The sequence below is a fragment of the Homo sapiens genome, chromosome 2 (assembly GCF_000001405.40).
Source record: "Homo sapiens chromosome 2, GRCh38.p14 Primary Assembly".
NCBI classification, from domain to species: Eukaryota; Metazoa; Chordata; class Mammalia; order Primates; family Hominidae; genus Homo; species Homo sapiens.
Genome location: NC_000002.12, coordinates 35,455,924 through 35,480,263, shown reverse-complemented (window position 1 = coordinate 35,480,263; position 24,340 = coordinate 35,455,924). Strand labels below are relative to the sequence as shown.

The 24,340-nt window shown below is 34.9% G+C and overlaps 1 non-coding gene and 1 pseudogene across 1 annotated transcript; both read right to left on the bottom strand.

Moving 5' to 3' along the window:
* Positions 8,556–8,659, bottom strand: RNU6-1117P (RNA, U6 small nuclear 1117, pseudogene; annotated as a pseudogene).
* On the bottom strand, positions 8,778–8,859 carry MIR548AD (microRNA 548ad). Its single transcript, NR_039629.1, has one exon. It is a non-coding gene; the product is annotated as a microRNA 548ad (primary transcript).
* Between the last annotated feature and the right edge of the window lie 15,481 nt (positions 8,860–24,340).

Here is a 24,340-nt window from a genome sequence, read left to right as displayed (position 1 = left end):
AGTTCAAGTCCTGATTATCCTTGTTAATTTTCTGTCTCGTTGATCTGTCTAATATTGAGAGTGGGTTGTTAAAGTCTCCCATTATTATTGTGTGGGAGTCTAAGTCTCTTTGTAGGTCTCTAAGAACTTGTTGTATGTATGTGGGTGCTCCTCTATTAGGTGCATATATATTTAGGGTAGTTAGCTCTTTTTGTTGCATTGACCCCTTACCATTATGTAATGCCCTTCTTTGTCTTTTTTGATCTTTGTTGATTTAAAGTCTGTTTTATTAGAGACTAGGATTTCAACCACTGCTTTTTTTTTTTTTTTTTTTTTTTTTTTTTTTTTTTGCTTTCCATTTGCTTGGTAAATATTCCTCCATCCCTTTATTTTGTGCCTATGTGTGTCCTTGCATGTAAGATGGGTCTCCTGAATACAGCACACTGATGGGTCTCAGCTCTTTACCCAATTTGCTAGTCTGTATGTTTTAAATGGGGCATTTAGCACATTTACATTCAGGGTTAATATTGTTACGTGTGAATTTGATCCTGTCATTATGATGCTAGCTGGTTATTTTGCACACTGGTTGATGCAGTTTCTTCATAGTATCATTGGTCTTTATATATTGGTGTGTTTTTGCAATGGCTGGTACCGGTTTTTCCTTTCCATAATTGGTGTTTCCTTCAGGAGCTCTTGTAAGACAGGCCGGATAGTGACAAAAATCCCTCAGCATTTGCTTGTCTGTAAAGGATTTTATTTCTCCTTTGCTTATGAAGCTTAGTTTGGCAGGATATGAAATTTTGGGTTGAACTTTCTTTTCTTTAATAATGTTGAATATAGGCCCTCACTCTCTTCTGGCTTGTAGGGTTTCTGCAGAGAGATCTGCTATTAGTCTAATGGGCTTCCCTTTGTAGTTAACCTGACCTTTATCTCTGGCCACCCTCAACATTTTTTTCCTTCATTTCAACCTTGGAGAATCTGATGATTACGTGTCTTTGGGTTGCTCTTCCCAAGGAGAATCTTAGTGATTTTCTCTGTATTATTACCAGAATTTGAATGTTGGCCTGTCTTTCTAGGTTGGGGACGTTCTCCTCAATAAAATCCTGAAGTGTGATTTCCAGCCTGGTTCCATTCGTTCCACTCTCCCCATCACTTTCAGGTAAACCAATGAATCACAGGTTTGGTCTTTTCACATAGTCCCATATTTCTTGGAGGCTTTGTTCATTCTCTTTTATTCTTTTTTCTCTAATCTTGTCTTCATGCCTTATTTCAGTAAGTGTATCTTCAATCTCTGATTTCCTGTGTTCTGCTTGATTGATTTGGCTATTTATACTTGTGTATGCTTTACGAAGTTCTCGTATTGTGTTTTTCAGCTCCATCAGGTCATTTATGTTCTTCTCTAAACTAGTTATTCTAGTTAGCAGTTCCTGTAACCTTTTATCAAGGTTCTGAGCTTCCTTGCATTGGGTTGGAACATGCTCCTTTAGTTCAGAGGAGTTCGTTATTACCCACCTTCTGAATCCTACTTCTGTCAATTTGTCAAACTCATTCTCCATCCAGTTTTCTTCCCTTGCTAGACGGAAGTTGTGATCACTTGGAGGAGAATAGGTATTCTGGTTTTTGGAATTTTCAGCATTTTTGCGCTGTTTTTTCCTCATCTTCATGGATTTATCTACCTTTGATCTTTGAGGCTGATGACCTTTGGATGGGGTTTTTGGTTGGCTGTACTTTTTTGTTAATGTTGATGTTATTGCTTTCTTTCTGTTAATTTTTCTTCTAATAGTCAGGCCTCTCTTCTGCAGGTCTGCTGCAGTTTGCTGGAGGTCCACTCCAGACCCTGTTTGCCTAGGTATCACCAGCAGATCTTGCAGAAGAGCAATGATTGCTGCCTGCTCCTTCCTCTGGAACCTTCATCCCAGAGGGGCACTGGCCTGATGCTAGCCAGAGCTCTCCTGTATGAGGTGTCTGTCGACCCCTGCTGGGAGATCTCTCCCAGTCAGGAGGCACAGCGGTCAGGGACCCACTTGAGGAGGCAGTCTGTGCCTTAGCAGAGCTCCAGTGCTGTGCTGGGAGAATTCTCCTTGTCATGATCTGCTGCTCTCTTCAGAGCCAGCAGGCAGGAACATTTAAGTCTACTGAAGCTGTGCCCCCAGCCACCCCTTCCCCCAGGTGCTCTGTCCCAGGGAGATGGGAGTTTTATCTATAAGCCCCTGACTGGGGCTGATGCCTTATTTTCAGAGATGCCCTGCCCAGTGAAGAGGAGTCTAGAGAGGCAGTCTGGCCACAGCCACTTTGCCGAGTTGTGGTGAGTTCTGTCCAGTCTGAACTTCCTGGCCTTAGCATTTTCAGGGGAAAACCACCTACTCAAGCCTCAGTAATGGTGGACGCCCCTCTCCCTGCCAGGCTCAAGCATCCAAAGTTGACTTCAGACTGCTTGGGCTGGCAGTGAGAATTTCACGCCAGTGGTTCTTAGGTTGCTGGGCTCTGTGGGAGTGGGACCTGCTGCGTGAGACCACTCACTTGGTTCCCTGGCTTCAGCCCCCTTTCCAGGGGAGTGAAAGGTTCTGTCTCGCTGGTGTTCCAGGTGCCACTGGGGTATGAAAAAAAAAATTCTGCAGCTATTGACCTAGGCTGTTTCAAGTGAATACATGGAGGTGGAGAGAGGAGCTAGCAACAAAAATAACAACAAAAAAAGGTAAAATATTTATCTGAGATTTTAAATATCAATGATGATGTTTTATCTTTTTTGTAACTTTCATATATAAGCTTAGATAAGTACTTTTAAAAGAAAACTGAAATAATCACTCTGATAGTAAGATTAGGCTTCATTTTTTAATATTAGGTATATGCCAAAATAAGTTGCTTAGCCCATCCAAGAGAATGTCATTAACTTTTTAATAATAGCCATTCTGACTGGGTAAGACAATTATCTCATTGTGGTTTTTATTTGCATTTCTCTAATGATTAGTGACGTTGAGCAGTTTTTCATTCACCTGTTGGCCATTTGTATGCCTTTTTTAAAAGAAATGTCTATTCATGACCTACCACCACTTAAAATTTTTCTTGCACCCTATAAACTTGTAGAAAAATATTAATAATAAAATCATAAATTTGTGATAGACTTTCTGTTATACATTTTATCTAGGGCTACCTTTAATATTCAGAACATAACTGAAGGGATAATATAATGATATAAATGTTTGACTTGTACAGATGCAAGTTTCTGTAAATTAAAACAACTATTCGCTATAAAAATGAGTATTTTTTTTTTTGAGATGGAGTCTCGCTCTGTCCCCCAGGCTGGACTGCAGTGGCTCAATCTCGGTTCACTGCGAGCTCCGCCTCCCAGGTTCACGCCATTCTCCTGCCTCAGCCTCCCGAGTAGCTGGGACTACAGGCGCCCGCCACCACGCCCGACTAAGTTTTTGCAATTGTACTAGAGACGGGGTTTCACCGTGTTAGCCAGGATGGTCTCAATCTCCTGACCTTGAGATCCGCCCGTCTCGGCCTCCCAAAGTGCAGAGATTACAGGCGTGAACCACCACGCCTGGCCCGAAAATGAGTATTTGATGTTTTTTAATCCATTAACAATAACGAGGAACAAATAAATTTAACTGGATTTAAAATAAATATGCATCCTTAAATCTACTAGTTTCTTTGAAATATCTGTGACATGCCAATAATAGTTAAGTATTTGATCTTAACTTGCATAACATTTTACGTAGTTCATAATGCTTTTCCATTTTATTAAGAACCTTACTCATAGGTTCTTAAAAATGACATTCTGAAGTATCCAAAACAAATGCTAGTATTCCAGTTTTACGGATAATTTTATAGATGAGATAACCAATAAACGATTTTTAAAAATAAAAGTTTAAAAAGTGAAAATTTTTGATTCAAAATTATACCAAGTTATCTGACTTCTAATTATCACTCATCTAATCATATTATCTCATTCAAAACACAATTTTTAAAAATTGTTCCAGATTTTTGCTTAGCAAACTTTGTCTTTTGACAAAATGTCTGTGCAAAATTACATGTATCACAAATGCTTATCTTGGATTTATGAGTATAATCTAAGGCAGTCAAAGAATTACACAGCTACAACTTCATACTGCTAGAGACTTGACACAATTCAACTGAGAAAAAATAATGAAATAAACTTCTATATCTATTTCCCATGTTTATTATCAGCTAGTGGCTGGACAAAAAAGCATGGGATCAAGTTATGTGGTAAGAGAGGATTAAATTATTCAATTTTCATTAGGCTACCTGTAAACTACAGTAGAAGTTAAGGAACAGAACAGTTAATGGGATTGTAATTAAACTGTGAAAATATATTGCACAAAAGATTTACTTTGATGTTTTGCTTGTATCTACAAGATTAGAGACTCTTCAGTCTTAGCTGCATTCCCTGTTTCTTCTTAGTTCTCTCTTTGCCCTTTAAAGTATTGCTTTCTGTGTCTTTTATCCCCGTTCATCCTTCCATTTTTCTCTGTTTACTTATTGTCCTTCATTACGTTATATGCCAAGCTCAGGTATTCAAATGTAAAGATTGGTAGGCAAATATGTCATGTTGCTTAAGGAGCTCTAATTTTCATTCTCAATCTGTGCCTTAAAACTAGAACTTTCTGAGCAATATTAATAAGAGTATTTAATTCAATTTGATATGAGGTATGCCCTGAAGAAGACACATTTACTCTGTTTCCGGACTGGTTCTTGTTCTCTCTCACTCCCTACTTTTTTTCAGGCTCTTTCAAACTTGTTATCTTTTAGTTTTTCTCTGGTTTCAAACCATTTACCCTCCTGTGGCCATTTGAAATCCTGCTTCTCTCATTTTACCCTCAATGCTTTCTATTCTTTGGTGTGTAGCTACTCTTTGGTTCTTGAGGTAACTTTATGTCAGCGAGTTCCAGTAACCATTTTGTTTACTTTAAGCCTCCCCTGGAAACATCCCACTAGACTGGTTCGCGCCCAACCCTCTGCAAGTAGCAAAGGTAAGGGATTGTTTATTCTCAGTCTGTATATAAATAACTAGCAACCCACATAGAAATTACATTGCCCTAAAGAAATGCGAAATAAGAGTTGGTTTAAGAAGGAAGCAATTGATGTTGGAGCTATATTGTAAAATAGTATTCATAGTGACATATTGGGTAATAATAATTTCACTATTTGAACAGCTGACTTAAGGAAAAAGAGTAGCTTAGTGAGGTGAAGTTCCATTCCTGTGAGATTCTTCGGTAAAATTCAAGTTTGCATCCAACTGATCATTGGTATATTGCAAGCATTTTGTGCTCACTGTAATAATGACAAGTAATGATATATTTTGTACTGTGATATTTAATATAAATAATCTGTGCTCTAAAAATTATTCCATTTTGTGTAGCTCACTTAATTTCCTAATATTAAAAAATCTCATTAAGAAAGCCACACTGGGAAATTAAATGCCTCATACATATTATAACACACCCTGCTTTTATCTAGAATTTACACTAACAGACAGTGGGTAAAACAACATAGAATCATACAAGTGATCCAAAAAATATTCAATTGGAATAGATATATTAGGAACGATGTAAAAATTTTAAATAATTTAGAAATAACAATTGATAATACTGTATGTAAAGTAGAATGTTGATTATAAGAAACACTATAATTCTCATTCCTAAATCTTTTTCAAAAAATAGGTGATTTTCCTGTACCTAGCAAGCAATTTTCTTGAATAAATAATCAGAGGCTTTTGGATCTGAAGGTAATTTTAGAAGTCATCTATTCAAAACCTTTAGAGATGAGAAAACTTCCTTCCCAGAGATTGATTTTTGGCAGGGACATATGACTAAATAACAGCAGAAAAAATAGGACTATACTGTATACATTTTGCTTTCCTGGACAATATTCATAATATTATTATTATCTTAGTAATATATTTTTTCTTAAGTAATTTGGTTTGAAGCTTTGAGAAAAATAATTACTATGAAAAATTTAGGGTATTACAAAAAGAGGTGAAGTTCAAGCCCAGAGATCCTGTCTCCAAGGCAGTTTTACTCTTTAAAAATATGATACCTAATAAACATAATTTCGATGAGGCTTTCTTTTATTCAGAGGGGGTCAGATTAACTATGCTTATGATAAAGTGGTGCTCTATTTTATTCTAAGTAAAATGTTTGCTTTAAGTCAGAAAAACATACAGAAAATGAACTTACCTCTTTCCATTTAAATCTAAAGCAGTTTGAACATTATAACTCATGACTTAAGAAATAATGATATTAATAAATAATTTTACCTAAAATGAAAAAAAATCACAAAAGAGATCAAATGGTTAAAATTACTTTGATAATAATTTAAACTTTAAAAGACAAGAGCACTAAATAATACAGTCCAATTCCTACATGAAATGAACCGAAATTTTGACGTAGGGCTTTTTGTAATGTTTGAAGTTAAAAGACAGAGATCCTCATTTGAAACTCCTTGGGGAAATAACTTCCTCAACTGCAAAATGCTCATGACAGACTAGGAATCACAAGAATATAAGACAGTCTTGCAAAAGCAAGAGTATAACATGGCAAGAGAATGAACGTGCAGAACAGAATATTGGTTACTGTTAAACTGTTAGATCCACTTACTAAGAATATAGGAGCATGAACACTGTAAAACTGTGCCAAAACTAATGACATTCGGATATTGAAAACATAGAACTCAGATTACAAAATCAGTTGTTCAGAATACAAATGGGTCAGTTGAATGAATTTGTAAATGAATAAAAATTTCATTCCCTAGGAAATATCAAATTAAAAAGGGGTTAGTCAAATATCTGAACGTGGACCAAGAGGATGTGTATGTCAAACTATTATGAAGTGGATAAACATATTATAGTACCTAAAGCAGTACTAGTTGTTCCTTTTTTTATGTGTAACAAACCAAATGAATTTAGTTACTGTTATTCCAGACCAGAAGACTGGAATACAATGACTCCTATCAGTTTACATTTCCTATTTGAAGGTAAAAGAGTTGTTTCTCTATATCATCTATTTGATCTTTCATTTCTCAAGATAAAGTTCACTGATTTCTGGAGGAATTATAAATAGAAGTAATCCATTTAGCTAAGACAAAAAAGACAATAGGACATATTGAAATTTTATTATAAAAAGAAACCAAATTTATATCCAAATAGAAAAAAAAGTTTCCTCATCATTCATGCATTATCCAGAAAATCTTAAAATTTTTAATAAAATTACCAGCCTCTCACCTGGGAATAGGTGTGTAAATATTTTATATGTTGTCTTTAACTTAATGAGTTATCATGGAATAGGAAGTTTTTAAGCCTGAATTACTCAGCACTATTCTACTTTTCCAATTCATTCAAATGTAATTTACTACTATTAAATTAGTATTAATTTATTTATTATTATACTTTCTCAATGGGGCCAAGCACAATGTTAAACATATGATATAGTTTTATTTATGTTTCATAATGTACGGTTTAATGGACACTAATAACCATTTGTGGATTTCTTGCATAATAATAACATACAGAACTCTAATAGTCATAGAAAACCTTCACTGAGTATTACCTATGCATCAGTGACCATAATTTGTCGTGTTCATGTGATATATTTAGCGATCTTCACAAGCTTATAATGAGGGAAATACTACCGGCATTATTCTTCTCAATAAAGATGAAGAAACAAACGCTTAGAGAGATTAAATAAGTTGCCCCAAGTCACTAACCCAGATATTAAGCAGCAATGTTGATACTGGTAGCAGACATGTCTGCCTCCAAAACCTGTACTTCTAACCAGTTAACATCTTTGTTTCTAATGTGTATGGCTTCTATGGGTACCCACATAGAATGGGTACATTGTTGAACATGACACATCTGTAGCCATGCTTCCCTCATTAGTCCATATCACAAAAGAAGAGTTGGTTTTCCCCATGTCTATTTCTCAACCCTCCGATTGTGCTCTGCCTTCTCTCTGTGTGTCAACTACTCCCAAATATTTAGGATATTCCTAGTTTTCTCCTCAGTGCATCACAACTCTGTATTCAGGGTTGTGCCTACCTGATAACCTTAACATCCATGCCATTGTTTCCCTTTTGATATGTGAGTTATCCTTAATAACTCATTCATGCTTACCACTCATATAAGTAAAATATGTCAATTCTAATTTTAAAGTAAAATACACCCACTTGTCTCTATCTTCATGTCTTCCTTCACTTTAGTCCAATTCATAGGCTTCTAAACCAGCCATCTAAAATCCCTTTGCCTTCATTTTTTCTCCTTATATTTGTTCTCCACACAGCAGCCAGGTTGACTGTTTTTTAAAACACACAAAGTTAAGCAGTTAACAGACTGGGGCCATACTCCACGATGGCTGGTTGAAGAAATTCACCATTCTGTAGGAACTAGGATTTGTATGGCTGCCTGAAGATCCATGAATATTGACTGCTGTGGAGCAATCCCCCTTCCCGCTCCAAATCCTGGTTTCTGCACCATGCCTCCACTGGGAGGGCCTCTCATTCTACCAACCGGCCCACCTCGAGGGCCTCCAGGACACTGAAGACAATTATCTCATGGGAAAAATATGGAACGCTTCATGAATTTGCATGTCATCCTTGCACAGGGGCCATGCTAATCTCTATATTATTCCAATTTTAGTATATATGCTGCTGAAGCAAGCACCAAACTAATTTTTTACGTGAGTAATACCTACATATAAACTACAACATACATGCACATAGACACTAAAACAGTACAAACATAGAGTGAAAAGTTAAAATTCTTCCCACAACTGTTGATTGTATTAGATTGGTGCAAAAGTCATTGTCGTTTTCGCCAAGTTACTTTCAAAAACCACAATTACTTTTGCACCAACCTAACAGTTGACACGTATGTGAAAATTGTTGTGTTTTGATCCTGGATCCTTATAGAATTCTTGTAACTTTGCTTTACCGCAACTGAGTACATTGACTCTTGGAATAAAAATTATATTTTCTGTAAAATATATGTTTAGGTTATTTATTAACTATATATAAATTTTCCTTTCGATTTATTGTATTGGCTAGATCCTGAAGATGATGCTGGGTAGACACTGTGAAAGAGGGCATCCTTCTGTTTTTCCCAATTTAATGAGAATGCTTCTGAAAGTTCATATATGTGTATTGAAGTTTTTAGAGGATTCCATTCATTAAACAGAGGAGTTGCTTTCTTCTCTCAGCATGGTAAATGTTGGGTCAATGAAAAAAGAAAATGTACTGTATACACACAATGGAAAACCCTTCAGCCATAAAAAAGAAGGAAATCTTGTTCCTGATGACAACATAAATAAACGTGGAAAACCTACGTTGAGAGAAATGTCAGGAACACAAAGACAAATACCACATAATATCACTTATATATGGAATCCAAAAAAGTTGAACCCACAGAAGCAAAATGGTGGTTTCCAGAAGCTAGGGGATTGGTCTAGCAAGATGTTAGTCAAAGGATACAAAATCTCAGCTGGAAGAGATAAGTTCAAGCATTCTATTGTATAGTATGATAACTATAGTTAACAACAATCTACTATAAGCTTGCAAATTACTGAGTACACTTTAAATTTCTCACTACCAAAAAAAAAAGTATGTGAGGTAATGTATGTATAAAGTAGCTTGATTTAGCCATTTCACAATGATTTGACAGATATAGCAAAATATCATCTGGAACACCATAAATAAATACAATTTTTATTCGTCACTATACAAAAGGAGCTGATCAATAGTAACAATTGTTGAAAATATTTTAACTGGATCTGAGACATTACGAATTTTTGTAGAAGTGCATTAGGGAAGTGCCTTAGGAAAGAAAATTTTTTTATTCCAGGTGTGGTTGATAGAGTTGAATTACAGTAACATTTTGTTTTAAATAACCTTTTTAAAAAATACATAGCTAGGTGTGGTGGCACAGAGCTGTTGTCCCAGCTGCTTGGGAGGCTGAGGCAAGAGGATTGCTAGACCCAGGAGTTTGAGTCTAGTCTGGGCAACATAGTGAGAACCCATCTCTTAAAAAATAATTACTTTTTTAAACCTAAGAAATTAGCTCTAGTTGGTCAAAAAGTATAATTATTTTAAAATTACTGCACTTATTTGATATATTTTAAAATGTGAGTATTTGTATTCATGTTCACATTGAACATCATAAATGAAATTTTCATCATATATGAGATTATTTTATAGTTTTTGTTTGTTTTCCTTTGCTAATTCTGTTTTGCATAAAGTTAAATGTCAGCTTCTAAGCATTCTTATTTCCCATATTTGTGTCTAGATTAAGAAAAGCAAATATTTGTTTTTTAAGACTTTAAAGTTGGTTAGAAGCAGTGTTTATGTTATAAATTAACCTTTCTCGTTCTTTACTTTGGTCATCAATATCTGGTTTATAAAAATAAATATTTTCAATATTTTCATAACTTTTTAAAGTTGAAAGCAAGAATTTAATGTTCTATACTCCTCTCTTGGTATCTTTAGCTTTAAAAAATACATATTAGGTTTGAAATTGTCTTTTGAGAATATCTTTGATATTTTTCTCTTGGATTTGATACATAGGGCTCTTATTTTTCATATATAGATGAGTGTACACAGATATGCATAGAAATTACCAAACTTTAAACATACATACAAGTGTGTATGGGAATAAATATGGGTTGTTTGGCCAAGTTTAAAAATTTCATTTATTCTTCATATTAAGCCAATATACGTGTATGATATCATTCACAGATTGATGGATATTTTCTTTGTGGCCTAATGTCATCAATGCCTTCCAATTCTATAGGTCTCATTGTAAAGAGTAGTTTATGCTTCTTTGGATTCAGAGTTATCCATGTATTTATTAAAACATATATATAGTTGTGTTATTCAAATTCTTTATTTTCTTCTTGGTCCCTCCTGTGTTCTGACAAGACCCTGTTATTTGTCTCATCAAAATATTTATCTCTGTTTGTATTAATTGCCCATGTATCTGTCATTTTCTTCTCTATTTTGTAAATACTCCTTGAAGGCAGTCAACATTTTGTCCCCAGTTTAGTACATGGCTCACAATAATTAGTATGTCAAGTATACTACATGGCTCACAATCATTCTCAATATTATTTGTTGAGTGAATGAACATTCAGTAATTGGCTGATGTTCACCATTATCTTAAGGGTTTCAATAATCTAGAACTTACTGTGAACAAACTTAGTATGAACCCGAACATTTTCTCATCCCACCTTGATGTCAATGGATTAATTCCTCATAAATATTAAACTATTATAAAAATTGTACGTGATTATTTTCTTTTTATTTTGCTGCAAAGCTAGTGTAGTTAGCTTTGGGGGGTTAATATTATTGATTACTTATTAGCTAATCCTGATGACTGAAACATAATTGCAGTTAACTCTGAATATTTAAAATATATTAGGAAATTAAGCAGATATTTAAGTTTAATAAATGATTTACTCCAGTATCTGATAGAACAATTCATCTCAGACATCCGTTCTCAGGAAGTCTTATACATTTCCCTGATTTGATCCTTCATGACTTCTTTTAGTTCGTGTGGAATTGTACACATTTTCTCAGCTCTTTGATGGAATGAGTCAGATTCTACTAAGACTGATATGCCCAGTTTCCCTTTGTGTCACTTATAGTTAGTCTCTTCTACCTCAGTGATATACAAAGAAACCCTGGGGGGCTTTTACCTCAATAGTAAAACGTTTCCACTGGCACAAGTTTTTCACTAGAACGGCCCACCAGTGAGCTTTAGAGCACATATAAAAGTTGTTTTCCCTGTAGCAGCCTGGCTGACTTTCCCTTTCATCGAGAACCCCAGGGATTTGATGTGAATCATTCCCATTGAGGTTAATTGGACAACACATTGAGAAAACTGGCCATAAACTCAAACATCATCTGCTCTGATGCTAAAGACCAAAAAGCACAATTGTAGTTTATTTTAATTGGCACCCTCCTGTGAAGGGAGAAAGAAGTCAATTATCAGATTATTCTAATTATCAGAAGCATGCAAGCATACCCCTGTGTTGAGAGCTTTTTTTCCTTCTTCATTCAACAACTATGTTGTTCCCTTACATTTTATTTGACAGAAAATATTTAGATTAATAAATACAGCCCCTATTAACTATTATCATATGTACTGAAATGGAAATAAAATATCTTTTAATCAAAATCTGGCTTGGATATTTTATTTATCAATGTAAAACTTAGTTCACTCATCCATTTCATATCTTGTGGACTTTTACTATGTGTCAGACATATTTACTTGAGAAACTATTTTTCAAATATACATATTTGACGCATATTTTTCTGGAGACATTTTTCCTGGTTTATGTTTATTAATTAGAAATACATAAGGAAGCCTAGCTCCTCTGCGAATGGACTTTATCTTCTGCAGCACCTGGGTGCAACAAACTCAGTCACCTGGAGACAGGAGTGAAAACTTTGTTTTGCAGGAAATATTACTGAAATTGTTTTAAAAATACAATTTACTAAATAACGAAAGGATTGAGATGTAAAAGGTGAGGTCAAAAATAATAACAATCTCTTTCTTATTAGAAAAATGTTATTTTAACTTTTTAATGTATTATCATTGACTTAATCACATAGCTTTAGCTTTGTTTCTAAGATGCTAAATTATCTTCATCATCAAACATTCTTTAGCTCAGGACACTGGACTGGCTGCTGAGATGTTGAGAAATGGTCACTATATTCAGGATGTGTTAACAGATCTGTAAGGCAGAATATGTGTGCAATACATATAAGTTAGTATCACCAGATCATAAACTGCCTGACAACATGGACCATATACTGTAGTATTTATCTTTTACACCTTCACATTAAGTTGAGCATTCTGAGGAACTCATTCAATGCTTACTAGAGAACTGAGTTGAGAGTAAGTTTATTTGTCTTAAGAATCTACTATATTCTCATGATCTGAAATCATTATTTCCTTTAACATGGCTTATTTTTATAGAAAATCTGGAGGTGTTTATTTTGGAAAGTGAATTTACAGAGCAGTCTTTATTAGCATCACTCATTAAGCCATGCCAAAAAAGGAATCAGTCAAAGGAAACATAGAATATTGTATGGGAAATAATGCTCCATTGTTTGCATCATAAAACAATGAATTTAGTCCTGACTCTCTCAGTTGCTAGTTACATGATTCTTCTCACTTTCTTGTTATATAAAATGAGAACAAAATCTAGCCGCTTCAAAGGTGGTTGTGGTAATTAAATGAACTATTATAGTACCTCGGTGTCAATACATGAAATCTGTGTATTGGTGTCAATCTCATGAAAGTTAAGCATATTATGTATTAAAAGGCCATCATTTCTCTAGCTTCACAGTGGACATTATATATAAAAAATCACCAAGCTTGTCTCTATGTGGAAATAATAAGGTAATATATTTAGTTGGATTTGTGTTCTTTCCTGATGTCCCTCCCCCACAAACACTGTTCCACAATAATCACAAAACTCCTCATAAGATTATCATATTTCAGATTTAATTTGGTTATTATGATGGTGATAAAAAAATAAATCCAAATGATTTAAAGTGAGGATGGAACACTTCAACTATAAAGTCCTTTCAAGTATGCAAAATTTGCTGTCAACAAGGTTAATCATTCACTCCTCTCAGCTGGCACCATCTGAACCATATCCCTGGAGAGAGTAGCTTGATTCACTGTGGCTATATTTTGTGAATTATGAGTAAGTCATTTCCATGGCAAGCCCAAGGTGTGACCAAACCAATATAAGAATCACATCTTTTGCAGGGCGCGGTGGCGGTAACCCAGCTCTTTGGGAAGCCGAGGTGGGTGGATCACCTGAGGTCGGGAGTTTGAGACCAGCCTGACCAACATGGAGAAACCCTGTCTCTACTAAAAATACAAAATTAGCCGGGCGTGGTGGCGGGCGCCTGGAATCCCAGGTACTCGGGAGGCTGAGGCAGGAGAATCGCTTGAACCTGGGAGACGGAGGTTGCAGTGAGCCGAGATCACGCCACTGCACTCCAGCCAGGGCAACAAGAGCGAAACTCCATCTCAAAAAAAAAAAAAAAAAAAAAAAAAAAAAATTGCTCACAGTTAGTAATTGGCATATTGTTTTCTGATTTACAATTTAAAAAAAAACTCATCTTTGAAACTGTGTCTCCTAGAACTACTTCTTTTACCAAGGTATCAGTCAGAGACAGAAATTACTCATTGTTAGTTTGAACAACAACAACAAAAATTATTTAAAGAATGGGTAGGCAAACTTTTGTCTGTAAGGGGTAAGACAATAAATGTTTTAACCTTTGCAGGCCATAGATATGTGTTCTTTCTCTACTCAATCAGCTCTGTCTTTGTGGCATAAAAGCAGCCATGGATAATATGGGTGTTTCAGTAAAACCTTATTATTTGCAGAACAGGTAAGAGAGAGCAGGCAGGATTTGGTCTATTGGCCATATTACTGCTGACCCCTGCTATAAAACGTTGCTAACTAGTATATATATATATAAAAAAAAGGTTAACTATCATCAAAAATAGAATAGTAAAAGAGTACTTCAAATAATTTAGGAATAGCAAATATAAGGAGACTACACTACATTTAAGGATGACAGAATACTCAAGGAAGAATCAAATTTGGAAGAGCCTCTATCCCCACCCTCACCCCTGAGTCTGGCTTTTAGATCTCACTGGAGAGGGTGTGGCTGTAGTCCACTGTATAACAGAGGAATTTTCTGAGGTGCCGTGGCCTGGCGCTGAAGCACATGAAGCTACTTGCAGGGGTGCAATAGAATCTGCTGCAGTTCCAAGAGGCTAGAGTTTAATCCAAATGCAATTAGATTAAGATTACACATTAAAGACGGAAACAGAAAAAAAATAAACAAAGAAGAACAGCTTCAAAATTCCAAGGGAAAATATTTGCCAATTTAGGGCAAAATACAGAAATCTACATATATAAAATACCTGTATTATATTTGCCCAAAGAACAACTAAAAGAAACACTTTGTTTAAAAAAAGGAAACACTGAGATATAAATGCAATTTTGAGCAAAATAATACGGTAAGATATATTGTTAAATCCAAATAAGAATTGGCAAATAAGAATAATAATCTTTATTTAAAGATTATTAAATAAAAATTTAACAATTTTTTTGCATATTTCAAAATAAAAAGAAAATAAGATCTGTATAATGGCATTCTCATGAAAGGGATTTGAATCGCTGTTTAAACCCTACTATTACTTTTCTTCACTATGAGGAATACAGAGCTACTGATGAACTTCAAACATTAATGGAAGCGTGATATAATATATAAAATGAAAAGAAGGAGGATAGCTACTGAAAGCACAGATTCAAGGAGGTTTGAACATGGACGCAATGTCAAGACCTTTCAAAGAGGCATTGAGGAGTATTTAGACAATCCAGCCGTAGGCAATACATTAAACTGCAGAAGACTGAGTAATTATGAGGACTGTAGTTCAGACCCAAATTTGGAATAGAAAACTGAAATCAGAACCAAAGACAATGGGACACAAGGTAGGGAGTCTGCCATAAAACCCTGATTGGATAGAAATATAGTCTTTATCATGGGCAATGATGTGAACCCATAGTAAACTCAATAATAACTAGGACTTTATCCTGTCCTCAAATATTAATCTACTATAACATTAGCCAGGTACTATTACTTTCACAGGGATAAGTCGTAGAGGAGCAATGAGGTCCAAAATACGGTACTCTTGATATGAAAAACACCCAGACGGGTACTTAGAAGAGCAACATATTGAGACACATTACATAGTCTGGGGACAGGTGAATTAGTCAAGAGCAGGACTTGACAAACTACTCGTCCAATTTAGTGGCTTGTTTTTGCAAACACAGTTCTGTTAGTGACACCCATGCATTTGCATATTGTCTATGGCTGCTTCTGCTACTGTGACAGAGTTGAGTAGTTATGATCAACGTTATATGGACAACAATGTCTAAAATATTTAGTATTTGGTCCTTTACACACAAAGTTTTCCAACCCCTAAACAAAAAGAACATTATAAAATAAAAAAGGAATGATGACTGGTGTTGGAAGTGGAGTTGTCTGCTATGAGATTTTCACTTAACAAAGGTTGAAGTATTCAAACTGAAGAAAACAGAACTCTTATTCTCACCTAAAAAGAAGCATTAAAAATAGAAAACCCTAAAATAAGAGATAGGTACTGATTCAAGTTTCTGAGTCTCTGTACTCTAAAATTATGGTCAAAAGAGGAAGTTCTGATCAAGAGTGTGGTCACAGCCAGAGATCATGAGAGGATAAGTGATCAGAGCCTGAGCTTTGGAATGTGGGTAAAAATTCCACCTTCCAAATTTCTTCCAGTGAATTCTTCCTCTGACTATCTATGTCAACATTTTGGAAACTGCTTTGTGGCTATAAGTTGATGATATTTTTTACCATATCAGGGTTGTTTCGATGTATTCATTACCTTAGGATAAAACTCAAAGTCCTTAATATAGCTTGAGAATCCCTACAAATTCTAGTTCCTGTCTCTGTCTAAAATTTCTATCTCAATACTTTGCCTTTGTCCTTGCATAATGGAATTTCATTCAGCACCTTCTACTTTCTTTCTTGTCCATGGACTTTTGGATTCTCATCTTCCACTAAATGTTTTTCTAACTTTTAGTGTTTTGTTTAAATATCACTTTCTGATGTGAACCTTCTCTGACCCCTAAATGGATTGCCTTCCCCATTTCCTGCATATATCTTCATATCTCACGTGTTATCCTCTTAGCAAGCATAATTAGTTCCACCTCTGTATCCTCTTTATAGCCAGAAAATACCTTTAGTAGGGTAGAGAACATGTATGTCTTGTTCAAAGTTCTATGCATGAAACGTGGTTTAGGTAGATAATTAACATTTTTTTAAAAATAGATAAAACTATGAACAAATGCATTTATTATTATTATTCTCATTGCCAGTAAAAATGTGGCATTTCTTAAATCTTCTGTTGTCTCATATTCTTGTTTAAAATATTTAGAAGAATGGACTGATTATTAAAAAATGCATTACTCAGCTTTATATAATGACCTATATGATAACTTAAATTAGGTCAACATTTTGGTGATCAAAAAAGATAATCATACAAAGTGCTCAAGACAGCATCCAGTACCTATTAACCTGCTCAACAACAGTTAACCAACGTTAGTACAAATTCCTCTCATCTTTTATTCTTTGCCTCCTAAGGAGAAGAGAAGAAAAAATAAGGAATCCAGTCCATTTTGTGGGCATAATGATAATTTCTTCAGTCTGTGCAGACTTTCTAAGTTTGAAGAGAGAATTGCTTGCAAAGACAAATTATCTCAGGGGTTAACATTGTATATACATGACATATGGAAGAATGTATGTGGTTAAATCTTGGTGTTTCCAGTACATTCTTAGCACAATTTTTAAATAACTTAGCACTCTGTCACGAGATATTTGATGAGTTAGAAAGTTGGAATTATTTCAGAATGGTAATGACATTTTGTTTCTATCTTTTAAGGAGGTGCAAATTCCTCACATTCATCACTTTAACCTTTACCAAGGTCTTGGTTGTGTGATTCAGTGCCCTTTTTCAGAGAGCTTTTAGCAAATATTATTCTACTATTAAAGAAAAAGTGAAGACAAAGAGACCAGAGATTGAGGGCTGAGTGGCAAAGTTTTACCACTAAGCAGGGAACTCAGTTTAGCACAGAGCAGGGTGAAACTGAAGGAGGAGAAAAGAAAGATGTTTGTAATGACTGAAGATTGAAGACTCTGTTTTGTGCATATATGAAAATATATGCGGGAAATGGGGAAGGCAAAGTGAGTGTGGCTGATCAGTTGGTTAGGTAAGCCCTGGACTGGCTGGGGGAGATTGGATGCATGAGTGGAATATCTATTTCTGGATCACGGCATACTCATCTGCCTTTGCTAATATAGAAATATAAACTTCAAGCAGTTTCAACACAAATTTTTTGCTTGATGAACGTGATTTTGTTCTAGTAACGTAACATAGTCACAGTCAACCACATAATTTATCAATTATTAACTGATAGAAATACAAATTGTCAATTATTTTCTACAATAAAACTTTATTGAAAATATTTCTATCTGTACCAGAGCATGAGACCAAACCATCCTTATGTATACATGTCTTCAAAGATGTATGCTAAAGATGTGGAAACTGTATTTGCTCTAATAAGTAAACAAGTCAATGTGTACTTTGTAAGTTACAGAAAAGAAAAAGCAAACATAACCAAGAAAAAAAATATTCTATATATAGTTTTTGTGTTTGTTTGTTTTCATGACCCATAACTGATATCTGAAAATGCAACTAGCATTTGTGAAATGTATAAGATGACCTGGTTTGTTGCAACCTTCTTCTGAAATGCTCCCACACATTTTTTTACTCGTCTGTTCTAGATTCCCAGAACTCTCTTTTTATTTAATCACAGGATATTTTACTATAGGGATAGATAAGTAAGTGTATCAACATTTCAACCAGAAAAAAAAATAGGCATGAAACCAGGAATACAAAACCTATAATTCCCTAAAAGCATCTCTTTGGCCCCTATCCATTTCACCATTGTTTGACCACTTCTGGGGAAAGTATGTAGTTCTCAGCTTTGTAAATTCCCATTCTTGCTTTCTTTATACATTATACATTTCATCATATGTAAATGAATTTATTGGCAATTGGCAAACATACACAATGTAATACCATGTTTATTTACTGTTGAAGGGATTAGAAGAAAATTGGAGAAGGTGGCTTCTATTTAAGGAACAGGAGAAGGAACATTAGTATAAGTGGTAAAACTAAGCCACATGAGCTGATATATTTCATAGGATCCTTTGGTAACTCCAAAGAGCATTTTTGTTTCCTGATTTTGTGGAAATAATTTGTTAGTAACTCTTGGGTTGATCTCAACCTCCTTTCCTTATGCACAACCTCCAGGCTGTATGGCATCTCAAAGAATACTGAACTGGGAATGCAAACAATGTGCATTCATATTGCTTGTAATATAGAGTGTGCGCCATTTTTATTTTCTCAAGGAATCTTTACTCCACTATGGTCACACTCAGAAAAGTCATTACCTCCCAAAAGATAAAATTCTTCTTCCTTAAGTCAAACTCCGTGTTAATATCAAGAGAATATTAAAATGTTCTCTTTGCTTTTAGTATATATGATTATGAATGACAAAGGGGAGGACCCCAAACTAGAAATTGCCTCTGGGGCTAAATATATTAGTTAGCCTATGATTAACACCACCTCATTAAGACAGAAAAGGCAATTATGGTGAAGAGACTGGAGCCTATATTGACCTCTCCCTAGCTGTACTCAATGCCACACCACTGTGATAATTGAAAGACTTGTAAAACTTTGCCTTCAAAAGCAGAGGCAACCCAGCCATACCAGGGAATGTCTTGGGTGCTTTAGAAGATTTTCATATTTACATTCTACATTAATATGTGAATCCAGTTAATAATAAGCTGATCATTAGCTAGGTTTATAAAGAGCAACTGCACAGTACTCTTGAGGATTTGGCTTGACTTACAATTTATTATTGTCACAATTCTTCTGTCATTGAGTGCTTTAGTGTCCTGAACTATATTTTAAATTCTTTCGATTTGGGACTTATGGTCTAAGGACTAAACCTAATGAATTCTTGCAGCAAACACAATTTCCAATTACTGTTTGGAACGCACTTTGAATCATTCAGGGATTTTACCTTATAAACAAAAGGGAAAATAGAGATTGTAAATACGAAAATGGAAAAGAAAACTGTTGAGAGCTGTGAAGATAACTAACTATGAGACTAAGAAATAGCCTGCCTGAAACATAATGGGAATAAGTGGAGAATCTCAAGTTTTAATAAATGCCTTATCTGTGCTTTTATTAAGAAGGATTTTGAAAAGCTCTTAACTGAGTTAAAAGGCCACATTTGAAAAAGTGGATGAAAAACTCTACTGGCTTTAAATATGTGAGATATTCTCTTGTGTGAGTAATTGACTAGCCTAATTAAAATGAAAAGCCTTACAGAGAGAATCAAGCAGAGAGGAAATTGGAAGGAGGTTCCACACAAAATAGATGCCTATTAATCTACTCTGAAAGGAAAATGGAACCTCTGCTTGTTCAAGGGCAAAATTTGATGTCAGCAAGGAACAGACAGGTTGTCCAGAATGGAGTTGGAACCTCGCTGTAAGGGCAAGATATTTCAGCAACATGTTTGCTCTGACCTGGCTTGAACATTTATAGGAAAACAAAGGAAAAAAAATTAGTGTTTGACCTATACTCCTAGAAAAAAAAAATTATTAACAATTTCCAAAGTCCTAAATTCTGTAGGGAGTTCATATGCATAGAATATCAAAGACATAAACCATCAGAAGGTAGAAAGATCTTTGTCATTACATAAACTTTTTTATTTGTTTAGTTTTAAATCACTTTTTGAGGTGTGATTGACATGCAAATATCGGTACGTATTTATTGTACGAGTAGATGAGTTTGGAAATCAGTTTACACCCATGAAACTATCACCACCATCTATGCCATAAATATATCCATCACCTCTGAAAGTTTTCTCTCACCGTCTTTATTTATGATTATTTCTTGTGGTAAGAAAACTTAACATAAGATCTAACCTCGCAGCAAATATTTAAGTATAAAACACTACATTGCTGTATGCAGCCATAAAAAATGATGAGTTCATGTCCTTTGTAGGGACATGGATGAAATTGGAAATCATCATTCTCAGTAAACTATCGCAAGAACAAAAAACCAAACACCGCATATTCTCACTCATAGGTGGGAATTGAACAATGAGAACACATGGACACAGGAAGGGTAATATCACACGCTGGGGACTGTTGTGGGGTGGGGGGAGGGGGGAGGGATACCTTTAGGAGATATAACTAATGCTAAATGATGAGTTAATGGCTGCAGCACACCAGCATGGCACGTGTATACATATGTAACTAACCTGCACATTGTGCACATGTACGCTAAAACTTAAAGTATAATAATAATAAAATAAAATAAAAAATAAAAATAAATAAAATAAAATAAAATGAGGCAGAAAAAAAACCCACAACATTGCTAACAATAGACACAATTCTTTTCAGCAGATCTCTAGGACTTATTCATCTTGTACAATGGAAACTTTGTACCCTTTCACTATTACTTACCCATTTTCCCCTCTCCCCAGAAGAATGGCAAGCACCATTTTACTCTGTTTTTATTAGCTTGACAATTTTAGATTCCTCATATAGATGAAATTATGTAGTATTTTTCTTTCGGTGTCTGGCTTATTTCCCTTAGCTTAATGTCCTCCAGGTTTATCCACGTGGTTGTAAATAGCAAGATTTTCTTTTTTTTTTTAAGCTGAATAACATTCATTTTATGCGTATCACACATTTTCTTTATCCACTCATTTGTCAATGAACATTTAGGTTGCTTCCATATCTTGGCTCTTGTAAGTAACCCTGCAGTGAACATGAGGTACAGATATCTCTTCATGATTCTGATTTTAATCCCTTTAGATAAATACCCAGAAATAAGATTGCTAGATTTTGAACCTCCATATTATTTCACATGGTAGCTACAAAAATTTATATTTCCACCGAAGTATAGAAGGATATCCTTATATCCACATCCTTACCACCTGTCAATACTTATCTCTTTTTTTGATAATAGACATTCTAACAGATGAGAACTGATGAACTGATATCTCATTGTGCTTTAATGTCTGTTTTCCTGATGACTGGGAATGTTGAGCATCTTTGGTCATATTTATGTCTTGTTTGTTCATTTTGTGTCTTCTTTGGACCAAGGAATATTTTTTCATAACAAAACAAGCAAGGCAGTGAGTTCAAATCTATGTGATTCACAGGTCTTACCATGCAGTCACCACCCAGAAATAGCTGGCCTTAGAAGTCAATAGAATGGTCTTCTAAAACAAAGTGACACTTCTAGATGGGAGAAAAACCTTGTGGATTTAGTGGTCTATTATAGAGCATATGATCTATTCTCCAAACCAATTATTACTCTGTGGAACTCTTCCTCTTGTGACGGAGAGGACAAAAGGCTGGAAATAGAGCACAGCAAGTCATTTCCTAATTTTTAATAGGGATTTTTGTTTGGTTCTTTTGCTATTAAGTTGTAGGATTTTTTTTGTCTATTTTGGATATTAACTATTTATGGGATATATGATTTGCAAATATTTTCTCCCATTCTGTAGGTTGCTTTTCATTTTATTGATTGCAGCATCTTTTTAGTTTAAAGTAGTTTTACCTTTCAATTTTTGCTTTTGGTGACATAGCCAAGAAATCATTGCCAAGGCCAAAGTCGAGAAACTTTTTCTACTTGCTTTCATCTAGTTAATAGCAAGCTGATCACTAGCTAGACCCACAGTTTCAGGTCTTATATTTAAGTATTTTATCCATTTTGAGTTCATTTTTCTGTATAGTATAAGATGATAAGGGTCCAATTTCATTCTTTTATACCACATAATGTTAGATGCTTAGATATCACAGGCACTTTAAATTCTGTCTAAATGTGGCAAGAGGACAGCTAAGTTAAAAAGGAAATAAGGAAAAGGAGGGTCATAGGGAGAAAACTAAAACTGTACAGGTAAATTGGACAAGACGGAGAAATGAAAAGGAACAGTAATAGGGAAATAAGTCCACCTTGAGAAATAAGTCCACCTTGAGAAATAAGTCCACCTTGAGTCCTAGTTTCCTTGTGTGACCCAGACCTTTTCAGGCTTTGTTCCAGAGAAACACATTTGTGCCTTTCTCTAGCACACAGCCCTATGTGTCTTACATACTCAATGTGTATATTAATGATGCTATTTCTTATATGCCCATCACCCTTCAGACAAGATTCATTTTCAAACATTCCTCTCCCATGCAAGAAAATTGTTGTGTCTACAATTCAGTATTATAAAAGAATTGGTCCAAAGCACTTTACCTATTAAAACACAACTTAATGCAGGAAAAAGCATAAAACAATGAGGTTCTAAGGGAAAACTGCTCTCCTGTTACCTTATACTCTTTCCTACCAGTGGTGAAAATCTGACGGAAGAACAACAAAACTTTGCTTTCCCTAGTGGAGAGACCAGCAAACACATTCTAATATATGTTAATAGTGTGTCACAAGACAATATTTGACTCTTCTGAGGCAAAGAAAATAGCTACCATTAAAAAAACTCAAATAAAACTGTTACTTTAACACTATGAAATGACTAATGACTATTATTCCAGTCATCTACGTGAAATATTGATGGCCCCTTAGAACAAATGCTTATTTAAGACTTTTAAACATAGGAGAAAAAAATACCGATTTTTTTATTAATATTTATCTTGAACTAAAGTACAGTTAATGCTTTATTTACAATGCTTTTCTACTTCTTTTGGTTAGTACAGTTTCATAATTTGATAACACAAGAACCTATATGCTGGCTTTCACTTGTTGTGTTTCCAGATGTTTAACAAATACAAATACTTCTTTACAATAACTTTGTGCCTTTATTTCCCACTTCTTATGACTAAAGATAAGTTTGAAATACAACTAAAGATGACTTCTTAAGGCTGGCAGGCATTGTCTTTCTAAGTACAGTATAACTTTTTAAATGAAGTTAGCCAAATAAATGAGAAACTAGAAAATATTTCACAAGACCTTTTATTAATTTACAAATCACAATATACCTCTCTAGATTGGGGTTCTCAACCCCCCAGGCCACGGACCCTTAGTAGTCCATGGCCTGTTGATAACTGGGCCACACAGCAGGAGGTGAGCAAACATTATCGTCTGAGCTCTGCCTCCTCTCAAATCAGCGGCAGCATTAGATTCTCATAGGAGCTTGAAACCTATTGTGAACTGTACATACGAGGGATCCAGGCTGTGTACTCCTTATGAGAATCTGATGATCTGAGATGGAGTAGTTTCATCCCAAAACCATCCCCACTACCTCTGTCCATGGAAAAATAGTCTTCCACAAAACTGAATCCTGGTGCCAAAAAGGTTGGGGACAGCTGCTCTACATGAGTAGTAAAAGGTGGTATCTTGTCATTACAATTCCAACAGAAAAATACAAAGAAGTTTGATTTGGGGAATTTACAAAGTCATTAGAGATCATCAGAAAGCACTTAGAGTGACTGGATCATTTAAAAAAATCAATGTAATTGTTACAACATTTCCCTACAACTGATCAAAGTAGTCATATTAAGCTAATAGAAAACTAAAATCCAGTTGTTACTGGAATATGCAAACAGCAAAATTGACCAGACACTTAAACAAACATGTCTGTGATTTTTCATTCACAGTGACAAAAATTCTACTATTAAATACATAAGACTT